Source organism: Homo sapiens, chromosome 3 (assembly GCF_000001405.40).
Source record: "Homo sapiens chromosome 3, GRCh38.p14 Primary Assembly".
In the NCBI taxonomy this organism is placed as follows: domain Eukaryota; kingdom Metazoa; phylum Chordata; class Mammalia; order Primates; family Hominidae; genus Homo; species Homo sapiens.
This window is the reverse complement of record NC_000003.12, coordinates 49,730,761-49,743,748: the sequence shown is the minus strand read 5'-3', so window position 1 is coordinate 49,743,748 and position 12,988 is coordinate 49,730,761. Positions and strand designations below refer to the sequence as shown.

Here is a 12,988-nt window from a genome sequence, read left to right as displayed (position 1 = left end):
ACTTGGGAGGCTGAGGCAGAAGAATCACTTGAACCCGGGAGGCAGAGGTTGCAGTGAGCAGAGACCACGCCATTGCATTCCAGCCTGGGCAACAAGAGTGAAACTCTTGTCTCAAAAAAAAAAAAAAAACAAAAAAAAAAAACTATGGCTCAAGTGATCCTCCCACCTCAGCCCCCCGAGTAGCTGGGACTATAGGCACGCCACTACAACTAGGTAATTTTTAAAGTTTTTTGTAGAGACAGGGTCTTGCTCTGTTACCCAGGCTAGTTTTGAACTCCTAGCCTCAAGGAATCCTCCCACCTTGGCCTCTCATAGTGCTGAGATTTAAGAGATCGGACCTCACTATGTTGCCTGGGCTAGTCTTGAACTCCTGGTCTCAAGTGATCCTCCTCCATGAGGCATGATACCTCAGCCTCCCAAGTAGCTGGGATCACAGGTGTGAGCCACTGCTCCCAGCTGAAAGGTAAGTGTGTGTGTGTGTGTGTGTGTGTGTGTGTGTGTGTGTGTATTTTGTTTTTGTTTTTGTTTTGAGATAGGGTCTTGCTTCATTGCCTAGGCTAGAGTGCAGTGGTATGAACTTGGCTCACTGCAACCTCTACCTCCTGGGTTCAAGGACCTCAGCCTCCTGAGTAGCTGGGACTTACAGGTGCCTGCCACCATTCCTGGCTAATTTTTGTATTTTTAGTAGAGATGGGGTTTCACCATGTTGGTCAGGTTGGTCTCGAACTCCTGACCTTAAGTGACCCACTTGCCTTGGCCTCCCAAAGTGCCTGGATACAGGTATGAGCCACCGTGGCTGGACTGTGTGTTTTTTTAATATAAAATTTTAGTCCAATTTATTTATTTATATACTATTTTGAGACAGGGTCTCACTCTGTTGCCCAGACTGGAATGCAGTGGCACGATCTCAACTCACCACAGCCTTGACCTCCTGGGCTCAAGTGATTCTCCCACCTCAGCCTCTGGAGTAGCTGGGACCACAGGTGTGCACCGGCTCTTTTTTTTTGTATTTTGTAGAGACAGGGTCTCACCATGTTGCCCAGGCGGGTCTCAAACTTCTAAGCTTAAGTGATCTGCCTGCCTTGGCCTCCCAATGTGCTGGGATTACAGATGTGAGCCACCATGCCTGGCCCTGAAATAGATTAATTTGACTAATAATATCTTCCACTATGCTTCTATTTTTTTTTCTTTTTCTTTTTTGAGATGGAGTCTCACTCTGTTGCCCAGGCTGGAGTGCAGTGGCGCGATCTTGGCTCACTGCAAGCTCTGCCTCCCGGGCTCACGCCATTCTCCTGCCTCAGCCTCCCGAGTAGTTGGGACTACAGGCGTGTACCACCACGCCCGGCTAATTTTTTGTATTTTTAGTAGAGACAGGGTTTCACCGTGTTAGCCAGGATGGTCTCAATCTCCTGACCTCGTGATCCGCCCCCCTCAGCCTCCCAAAGTGCTGGGATTACAGGCGTAAGCCACCGTGCCCAGCCTATGCTTCTATTTTCTTTGACTAAATTGGGCTTCATTTGACTTAGAAAGAAGGGATTAATTTTAGTTTAATTGAATTGTACTTTTGAGCTAGCATATTTATTCTTTCCTAGTGAAAATGTAGCCTAAGCAAAGAAAATAAAGTAGATCCTAAGAATTTACTGTGGCTTTTATTTTTTTATTTTTATTTTGAGACAGGGTCTTGCTGTGTCGCCCAGGCTGGAGTGCAGTGGTACAGTCATGGCTCACTGCAGACTCAAACTCCTGACCTCAAGCAATCCTCTCATATTATGGCCTTTAAAGATACCTGTTACTCAGTTTGAGAGGAGGAAGGTGTGAGGAAATACTGAACCAGTGCTAGAGACTGCCAACCCTTCCCTGGGAGGCACCTTGAAGTTCTAAATTGTCTTGTCCCAGTTCTGATGGTTGTAATTTAGAGAACACCTATCTGGAAGCAGGGCTCATTTACCTTTTAAGGGATTTTTTCCTTAGCATCAGAAGGACTCCATGAGCTGACAGGGCCTATAGTTTTATTTCTGGCTTTGGCATATTTATGGCAGAATGTTTGGCCTTCAGTGTTTTGAATGTGGATGGATAGGTGGCTGAAGCTACATTTATAAAGTGTTTGGGACTGTTAAAGTTTCCTAGCCACTTGGAGAAAGCAGTGTGTTTATTTCTGGCTTTGTTCTTATTTAGCAGCCTTAGAATATTTATTTTTCCAAATTTAGTATTCTTCTGATTATGTTTTGAAAGCAATAAAAATCACCCAGTTTCAAAACTGCACAAAGGGCTTGAATAGAGATTTTTCCAGAGAGGACATACAGATGGCCAGTAGCACATCAACATGATTAGTCATTAAGAAATGCAAATCAAAACCAAAATAAGATACCACTTCATACCAGGTATCTTATTTTACCTAGTATGGCTATAATAGTTTAAAGAAAAAAGGGAAATAACTGTTGGCAAGGATGTGGAGAAATGGGAACATTGCTGATGAAAATGTAAAGTGGTGTAGCCACTGTGGAAAAGAGTTTGGCAGTTCCTCCCAAAGGTGAACACAGAAACCATATGATCCAGCAATTCCACTCCTACATATATATCCAAAACAATTGAAAACAGGGACTGTGGCCAGGTGCAGTGGCTCATGCCTGTAATCCTAGTACTTTGGGAGGCGGGCAGATCACCTGAGGTCAGTAGTTCAAGACCAGCCTGGCTAACATGGCAAAACCCTGTCTCTGCTAAAAAATACAAAAAGTAGCCGAGCGTGGTGGCAGGCACCTGTAATCCCCGCTCCTCAGGAGGCTGAGGCAGGAGAATCACCTCGGGAGGCGGAGATTGCAGTGAGCTGAGGTTGCACCACTGCACTCCAGCCTGGGCGACAGAGCAAGATTCCATCTCAAAAAAAAAAAAAAAGAAAAAAGAAAAAACAGGGATTCAAATGGATTGTTGTAAGCCAGTGTTCACAACAGCATCATTCATAATAGCTAAAAGGTGGAAACAACCCAAGTGTCCATCAATATAGATAATACATAACAGATGTGATATATACTTACAATGGAATACTATTGAGCCATAAAAAAGAATGAAGTTCTGATATATGCTGTGACACAGATGAACCTTGCAAACACTATGCTAAGTGAACTAAGCCAGACACAAAAGAACAAACATTGTATGATTTCACTTATATGAAATATGCATAATAGGCAAATCTGTAGAGATAGAAAGTAGATTTGGTTACTGGGGCTAGGAGGAAGGGAAAATGGGGAGTTACTGCTTAATGGGTACAGCATTTTTGTTTCAGGTGATGAAAAACATTTTGGAAATAGATAATGGTGGTGGTTATTCAGTATTGTCAATGTACTTAATGCCCACTGAATTGTACCTTTAAAAATGATTAAATGGCTGGGCATGGTGGCTCACACCAGTAATCCTAGCACTTTGGGAAGCGAAGGCAAGAGGATTGTTTGAGGCCCGGAGTTCCAGACCAGACTGGGCAACATAGCAAGCCTTGTCGCTACCAAAAAAAAAAAAAAAAAAAAAAGAATTGCAAATTTTATGTTTCTATCGATCGATCTATTGACTGAACACCACAACTTATTTTTATTTTTATATTTTATAGAGACAGGGTCTTGCTGTGTTGCTCAGGCTGGTCTTGAACTCCTGTGTTCAAGCAGTCCTGCCTTGGCCTCCCAAAGAGCTGGAATTACAGTGTGAGCCACTGAACCTGGCCCAAACACCACAATTTTATTTTATTTTTATTTTATTTTTTTGAGATGGAGTGTTGCTCTGTTGCCCAGGCTGATCTTGGCTCACTGCAACCTCCGTCTCCCGGCTTCAAGTGATTCTCCTGCCTCAGCCTCCTGAGTAGCTGGGATTATAGGCACGCACCACCATGTCTGGATAACTGTTGTATTTTTAGTAGAGATGGGGTTTCGACATGTTGGCCAGGCTGGTGTGGAACTCCTGATCTCAGGTGAGGTCCCAGCTACTTGAGAGGCTGAGGCAGGAGGATCACTTGAGTCCAGGAGTTCGAGGTTGTAGTGAGCTATGATGGCACCACTGCACTCCAATGGGACCCTGTCTCTTAAGAAGAAGAAGAATATTATAAAGAACTTTAGGCCGGGCCTGGTGGCTCACGCCTGTAATCCCAGCACTTTGGGAGGCCGAGACGGGTGGATCACGAGGTCAGGAGATGAGACCATCCTGGCTAACATGGTGAAACCCCGTCTCTACTAAAAATACAAAAAAATTAGCCAGGCATGGTGGCGGGTGCCTGTAGTCCCAGCTACTCAGGAGGCTGAGGCAAGAGAATCGCTTGAACCTGGGAGGCGGAGCTTGCAGTGAGCCGAGATCACGCCACTGCACTCCAGCCTGGGCGACAGAGCGAGACTCTGTCTCAAAAAAAAAAAAAAAAGAACTTTAAGCCAATAATTATTCTACAACATAAAAGAAATTGACAAAACATAGGGAGATCCTGTCTCTACAAAAAATAAACCATAAATGCTTCTCACTGATTTTCAGATTATAGAGCCAACTGTGTACATCTGAGAGTATAAAAGCAGAAATGTAGCTGACAGACAAAAGGTGGGATGTGGAAGTGAGACCAAGTTACTTTTTTTTCCCTTCAAAACCTCCTCCTCAAGTTTCTGGATATATGTATTTTTAAATTGTATTAAGAACACTTGAGAGGGGTCTTATTTGTGTTTTAACTCACTAAGATCCAGAAGACACTACAAACAACCCATTTGATTAAAATGGGCACAAAAAACTATTACGGATACAGCACGGCAAACAGAAGGATGTTTTATCTTCGAGATGCCAGGGGTGGAAGTTCTGTGTAGTGAGGCTGGGATAGCCTGATGCTCAGTGTGGGCAGAACACAGATTTTTTTGGACCGTCTTGGAGGGAGAAGTGTTGATGTCCCTTTGGCTGACACTGTCAGGCAGAAGGAAACTAGATCTAAAGGAGGACACACACAGGAAATGGCAGCATAAAGCACTTAAGTAACTAGAGGGTTAAGTGATGCCAGGTGTGGGTGTCACCTAGCGAACACAGTTCTTTTGAATGGTACAAAAAATCAGTAATTGAAAGTGAGAGGGCCAGATAAGAGAAGGGGAAATATAGACTTATCCAGGAACAAAGGTAAGCATCAGATTTAGCTTGGGGATGGACGGTCATCCATTTTCTGGAAGTTACTGTCTGCTGGCTGTTGTTCTGATATTGATCTGTAGTTGGTTCAGGGCAGGTGATGTCTTCATGCTGTGTGGGAAAGTGAGTGCCAACAGTCTGTGCTGCATAGACTCGGCCTGTGTTGACATTTGTTTACCAACTGCCCTTTTTTTAACAGGCGTGGTATCTGTCTGTTTTGAGGGGGACAGTGATGGTTACATCAACTTAGTGGCCTATCCTTATGTGGAAAGTGAGACTGTGGAACAGGATGACACAACAGAACGGGAGCAACCTCGGCGCAAACACTCCCGCCGGAGCCTGCACCGGTCAGGCAGTGGCAGTGACCACAAGGAGGAGAAAGCCAGCCTGTCCCTTGAGACCTCTGAGAGGTAAGAGGTACATGTTTCGTCCTGCTGGTACAAGCACTCAAGACGTCTCCATAGTCCTGACACATCATGGGGAAGCAGGGCTCACAGTCAAGGTTGGATAAGATGACTGGTGTTCTTGGGATACCCACACAGGTGTAGCCTCTTCTCTGTGTCACATCACCCCAGTGGTGCCTCTTTCTGGGTATAGCTGTAGCTGGTTGAGAGAGGAAGTGAAGCTCTCTCAGCCGTTTGGAAGCAGGGACACCCTGTGCTGGTGACAAAAGGTTCTCTGGCTTTTCATTATGTCTTGCCACCCACAGGACAGAAGGTTGAAATACATTAGTTCGTAGCGAGGCTCCAAATGCTTTCTGACCTGCAGGATGTCCAAGCCCAAGGGCTATGAGTCCAACCAGGAGTTCCCTAATGGTTTTTGTGTCAGACCTCTGAGAATCATATCAGTCATTAACGCTTTCCCTGCAACTAAAATTTAGTTTCCGTTGTGTTGGAAATTGATTTTTCTTGTAAGTTCAAATTATGTTTTTTTGTTTGTTTTGAGATGGAGTCTTGCTGTTAGGCTGGAATGCAGTGGTGCCATCTTGCGTCACTGCAACCTCTCCCTCCTGGGTTCAAGCAATTCTCCTGCCTCTGCCTCCCAAGTAGCTGGGATTACAGGCGTGCACCACCACACCCAGCTAATTTTTGTATTTTTAGTGGAGATGTTGTGTCACCATGTTGGCTAGGCTGGTCTCGAACTCCTGACCTCAGGCGATTCGCCTGCCTTGGCTTCCCAAAGTGCTGGGATTATAGGCATGAGCCACTGTACCAGCCTCAAATTATGTGTCTTGATAATTTCATGCAAGAATTAATATGAACTCCCACTAGGATGGGTATAATCAAAAGGACAGACAATAAAAGTGTTGACAAGATGTGAAGAAATGGAACCCTCCTACACTGCTGGTAGGAAGGTAAAGTGGTGCAGCCACTTGGGAAACAATTTAGCAGTTCTTCAAAAAGTTAAACCAGGCTGAGTGCTGTGGCTCACGCTTGTAATCCTAATGCTTCAGGAGGCTGAGGTGGGAGGATCCTTTGAGGCCAGGAGTTTCAGACCAGCTTGGGCAACATAGTGAGACCCCATCTCTAAAAAAAAAAAAAAAAAAAAAAGGCCAGGCTTGGTGGCTCATGCCTGTAATCCCAGCACTTTGGGAGGCCAAGGCAGGCAGATCACGAGGTCAGGAGATCGAGACCATCCTGGCTAACACGGTGAAACCCTGTCTCTACTAAAAATACAAAAAAATTAGCCGGGCATGGTGGTGGGCACCTGTAGTCCCAGCTACTCGGGAGGCTAAGGCAGGAGAATGGCGTGAACCCAGGAGGCGGAGCTTGTAGTGAGCCGAGATCATGCCACTGCACTTCAGCCTGGGCAACAGAGCAAGACTCCATCTCAAAAAAAAAAAAAAAAAAATTAAATCCAAAAGTTAAACCAGTAATTCCACTCCTAGGTATATACCCAAAAGAATTGAATACATATATTCCCACAAAATTTGTACAAAAATGTTCTTAAAATTATTTCTATTAGGGTTGTTTCCAGTTTCTGGCTAACCCAAGTGTCCATCAACTGGTGAATGGATAAACAAAATATGGTATATCCATGTAATGGAATGTTAGCCCTAAAAAGGAATGGAGTGCTGGTACATGCTACAACATGGATGAATCATGAAAACATTATGTTAAATGAAAGAAACCAGACACAAAAGACCACATATGTACAATGCCATTTATGTAAAGTGTTCACATCAGGCAAATCTATAGAGAGAAAAGGTAGGTTAGTGGTTGCTTTCTGTTAGTAGTTAGGAGCTGGAAGTAGTGGGAAATAGGGAGTGACTGCTAATGATGATGGTTTTGATTTTGGGGTCATGAAATGTTCTGAAAATTAGGTAGTGGTGATGTTTTACAATCTTGTGAATTCACTAAAAAACCACAGAATTGTAAAAAATAAAAAAATAATAATAGAATTATGAGCCAGGCATGGTGTCTCACGCCTGTAATCCCAGCACTTTGGGAGGCCGAGGCGGGTGGATCACCTGAGGTCAGGAGTTCGAGACCAGCCTGACCAACATGGTGAAACTCCATCTCTAGTAAATACAAAAAATTAGCCAGGTGTGGTGGTGCGGGCCTGTAATCCCAGCTACTTGGGAGGCTGAGGCAGGAGAATCACTTGAACCCAGGAGGTGGAGGTTGCAGTGAGCTGAGATTACACCATTGCACTCCAGCCTGGGCAACAAGAGTGAAAACTCTGTCTCAAGAAAAAAAGGTTTCAGTAAGATGCTTTTGTGACTTGACTTAGAAGCTGAAATTGGGAATTTCCTTAGATGAGACAGTACATAGTTCATCTGTGATATCAGATCAGTTCACCAATACATGCTACATACCTGTGCCCCTGAAGCTTTGTAAAGGCCTAGGACATTCCAGTTCTCCTCACTCAGTTTGGTGAACAAGGACATGCCCATGTCAAGTACAGTACCCCATGAGACACTGGCTGAGTGGGGTTATGTGTCATTTCCCATGTCCTCAGTCAGCAGATCCTCTTTGGCCAGTCTGCATCTTTCATGCAAGGAGAGAGCTTCATACCCACTTCTTGGTAAGCAGGGTCTTCAAATGTCAAACGTTCTTTGGACAGATGGCTTCCAGTCCACAGAAGCACTTCTTCTAGTGCTTCCCCTTCACTCCCCAAGAGGCTGCTTCTTGACTAATGACTGTGGGACCTAACTTGGTCGTTCAGGTGACAAAGAATGTTCCCCAAGTCTGTAGCTGACAATTGATGGTTCTCTCTGAACAGCGCTTTAGGGTGGGCTTTTCCCCCCACTCTTTTTAGAGACAAGGTCTTGCTCTGTCACCCAGGCTAGAGTGCAGTGGCACCATCAGTGACTCACTGCAGCCTTGAATACTGGGCTCAAGCCTTCCTATCCCCTCTCACCTCAGCCTCCCAAGTAGCTGGGACTACAGGTGCACACCACTGCATTCAGCTAATTTTTAAATTTTTTGTAGAGATAGGGTCTCACTTTGTTGCCCGGGGTGGTCTGAAACTCCTGGCTTCAAGCAGTCCTCCCACCTTGGCCTCCCAAAGCGTAAGGATTATAGGCATGAGCCACTGCGCCCAGTCTAGAGTGGGCTTTTTTTATTGTCCTCCAAAGGTACAGAGGTTGCTTCATGAGTCATCTGGTGAAAAGGTATAGAATAACATCACCTAGAATAACATCACTGTCCGCCTGTGTCCAGGTTCAAGGTCCTGCCCTGAAGGTGACAGCTCTACCTGTACTGACCAAACCTCTGTCTGACCTGTTAGCAGAGAGACCGTCATTCCAGGGGTGGGGCTTGTTTCTTCACAGAGCCAGGGCTGCAACACAAAAGGTGTGATACCAAGTACCGTGGGGGCTTCATCCAGACGCAGAGAACTTCTTTGGGTTTACATGGCAAATAAGTCAACCTTTCTGTTTCCTAAAGGGTTTCACAAAAAAAGGCATCTTTGAATGGCCTCAGCAGTGCTCTCACAGAAGAAAGTAAGGGTTTTATCATTCCGAGAGGCACTGGTGGGCTCCTCTACTTTCAGTTAGGTGGAAATGGGGTCTCTGCCACTACCTCTTCACCAGTGTTGCACAGCTGACCCTTGGAGAGGGTTAGCATTTCCAGCACACACCAGCCCTGGTGTTAGCTTGAATCTGTGCGACTTATGCCACACAGTTAGAGGAGAGGCCTGCAGTTCTGGAGAGGAGAGTGGCATTTGAAGTTGCTGGGCGACAGAGCGAGACTCTGTCTCAAAAAAAAAAAAAAAAAAAAAAAAGAAATTACGGTAATGTTCCACCTCTGCTCTGAGCTGCAGGCTTGCTCTGTAATTTGCAGGGCACATGGCTTCACCAGTAGTTTGGTTTTCTTGGCCTTTCAGTATGATAGACAGTATTGTTGGTTACTTCAAGCAAAGATTTTTATGTTGGGGCATAATGAAATTGTTGGCAAAGTTCCAGTATTTTCAGTTGAAGTTGCTTTCTCACAAAAACTCCTTTGTGGTTTTATTTATTTTATTTTATTATTTATTTATTTTTAAGACATGGTCTATCTGTTTCCCAGGCTGGAGTGTAGTGGCATGATCATGGCTCAGTGCATCCTCAGCCCCCTGGGCTCAGGTGATCCTCCCACCTTAGCCTCCCAAGTAGCTAGCTGGCTGGAACTACAGGCACATGCCACCATGCCCAGCTAATTTTTAAATTTTTTGTACAGATGGAGTTTTGACATGTTGCCCAGGCTGGTCTTGAACACCTGGGCTCAAGTGATCCTCCTACCTTGGCCTCCCAAAGTGTTGGGATTATAGTTGTGACCCACAGTGCCTGGCCTTGACTTATTTTAGAAATAAAATTTCCTTCCTTGGCTGGGCGTGGTTTGGTAGCATTAAGTACATTCACATTGTTGTGCAACTGACTCCCCATTCCTCCTTCCCCCAGCCCATGGCAACCACTTTTCTAGTTTCTGTCTTAATGGATTTGCAGTTACCTCACATGAGTAGAATCATGCAATATTTATCCTTTTGTGTCTGGCTTATTTCACTTAGCAAAATGTTTTCAAGTTCATATATGTTGTAGCATGTATAGGAATTTCATTCCTTTTTATTGCTGAATAATATTCCATTGTATGTATATCCCACATTCTGCTTATCCATTCATCTGTTGATGGATGCTTGTTTCTTCCTTTTGTTTATTGTGAGTAGTGCTGCTGTGAATGTTGACGTAAAGTGTCTGTTTGGATCCTTGTCATTTCTTTTGGGTGTATACCTAGGAATGGAATTGCTGAGTTATATATAAATCTATGTTTAACTTTTTGAGAAACCACCAAACTGTTTGGTGGCTGCATCATTTTACATTCCCACCAGCAGTGTACGAGAGTTCTAATTTCTTCACATACTGGACACTTGCTCCACTTTCTTCTTTGATTGTAGCCATCCTAATGGATGTGAAGTGGTATTTTCATCACATAATTTGACAAAAATGTTATTTTTCAGATAGTTTTAAGAGACATAAGATAGTTTTAAGAGACACAGGAAGAACACTACTCATAACATTTACTCATTTTTATTGGCTCATGGGACCTTAATGCAACCCATTAGCAGGGTCTGTGGGTCTGTCATTGTGGACAGATCTGTGCCCTGTGCAGCGGGACCCCAGAGGATGACTTGCCTGAGTTTCTTAGTGATGTGTATGTTCTTCCTTCTTAGCTCACAGGAGGCAAAGAGTCCGAAGGTGGAGCTGCACAGCCACTCAGAGGTCCCTTTCCAGATGCTAGATGGCAACAGTGGCTTGAGTTCTGAGAAGATCAGCCACAACCCCTGGAGCCTGCGTTGTCACAAGCAGCAGCTGAGCCGCATGCGCTCCGAGTCCAAGGACCGAAAGCTCTACAGTATCCTCGTTGCCCCTCCTTCAGGAGTGTCTACTGGGTCCATAGGTCGTGTGTTGGGGCACCATTCTGCCTATGGCTGAGGTCTTTGTCTAGGGTCCCTCTTCGGTTTAATCTCCCTTTTTCATGGACTCCTCTTCCTTCGTTTACTTTCATCAACATGTTTTTTTCCTGCCTTTTGGATTTGGTAAGGCCGAAGCTTAAAACTTGGCAGTCTAGAACAGTGTTGTCTGATAGAACTGTCTGTAATTCTGTGTGCTTTTCAGTATGGTAGCCACTGGCCACACTGAGTGGCTAAAATGTGGCTACTGTGACTAAGGCAGTTAATTTAAATTTTATTTTATTAATTAAAATTTAAATCATCACATGTGGCTAGTGTGGCTAGTGGTACTATATTGATCATGTCCACAATCACAGATCTGCGTATGTGCCCATATGCGCTTGTGTGCATGTGTGTAGTTTTCCCCTCCCAAGGGATTAATAGTTTAAAGGTGATATATTTGACTTTGGTGAGATTTTTATCTGATGATAAACACCATAAAATAGATTTAAAATGTTAAAGATAGCTGGGCGTGGTGGGTCACACCTGTAATCCCAGCACTTTGGGAGGCTGAGGCAGGAGGATCACTTGAGACCAGGTGTTTGAAACCAGCCTGAGCAACATAGTGAGACTTCATCTCTACAAAAAATAAAAAAATTAGTTGGATGTGGTGGTGTGTGCTTGTAGTAGTCCCAGCTCTGAGGTGGGAGGATTGCTTGAGCCCAGGAAGTCGAGACTGCAGTGGGCCATGATTGCACCACTACATTCTAGCTTCTAGCCTGGGCAACACAGCAAGACCCTGTCTCATCTCCAGAAAAGATAAAAAAGTATTATGGCATAGGAATTCCTTTTTTTTTTTTTTTTTTGAGACAGAGTCTCACTCTGTTACCCAGGCCAAAGTGCAGCGGTGCGATCTCGGCTCACTGCAACCTCCGCCTCCCGGGTTCAAGAGATTTTCATGCCTTAGCCACCCCAGTAGCTGGGATTACAGGCGTGCGCCACCACGCCCAGCCTAGAATGGGAATTCTTACAATTGTTAGTGTTTTGAAGTAGTAGACAAATAACAACTGGATTATTCTAAGAAACTGAGGGAAAGTGTGCTGAACCTTTTGTACGTAGTTAATTTTCACAGCAATCTTTTGAGGAAGGAACTCTCATCATTCCCATGTTATAGATGAGGAAGTGGAAGCACAGGGGGATTAAGTGTTGTGCCTAGAGGTAGTGAGTGGTCAAGGCAGGATTCCAGAGCCCATGCTTCCAGGGTGTTGAGATATTTCTGCAGCCTCCTCCATATTTTACCATCACATGTTTATAGGTAATAGCAGGCAACAGAATTGATTCAGGCCAAATTTAAAAGTTACTTTCAAAAGAATGAAATGTTCATCATCACAGTGATGCTGAGTGTCTATCTGCTAAGATGCGATTGCTCTGTAGCACCCAGAGATGGATTTGAGGGCTGGGCTGTGAAACCCAGTGACTTTGGCAGACATATGATAAGTCTGTACCTTTACACAAAAGTTCAAAGATAAGATTGTTGCAAATAGGATATATTGGAATGAAGACATGTATGTAAATGCCAGGGAGTTAGGACCATAGATCGTTTTGAGCAGAAGGTTATAGAACTATTAAGGGATAAATTTATATTTTATATATAAATATATTTATATATATAAATTTGAAACCAGTGAACGAGATCTCTCTCTCTCATTCACTGGTTTCAAATTGAGTGACAAATGGCAAGACAGAAATATAAATCCAGGCTCATTCCTGTAATCCCAGCACTTTGGGAGGCCGAGGCCGGCAGATCACCTGAGGTTGGGAGTTTGAGACCAGCCTGACCAACATGGAGAAACCCCGTCTGTACACAAAATTAGCCAGGTGTAGTGGTGCATGCCTGTAATCCTAGCTGCTCGGGAGGCTGAGACAGGAGAATCATTTGAACTCAAGAGGCGGAGGTTGCGATGAGCCAAGATTGCGCCATTGCACTCCAGCC

General features: G+C 44.4%; 1 protein-coding gene across 5 annotated transcripts in view; it reads left to right on the top strand.

The window, feature by feature from the left end:
- The window catches only part of IP6K1 (inositol hexakisphosphate kinase 1), a 62,249-nt gene that overhangs the window by 42,794 nt on the left and 6,467 nt on the right, over positions 1-12,988 (top strand). For all 5 annotated transcript variants that reach the window (NM_001006115.3, NM_153273.4, XM_047449323.1 and 2 more), the window contains 2 exons: positions 5,327-5,537; positions 10,777-10,958. In NM_001006115.3, coding sequence (NP_001006115.1) covers positions 10,838-10,958 — 121 coding nt within the window. In that variant the 5' untranslated portion in view covers positions 5,327-5,537; positions 10,777-10,837. The remainder of the gene's footprint in view (positions 1-5,326; positions 5,538-10,776; positions 10,959-12,988) is intronic.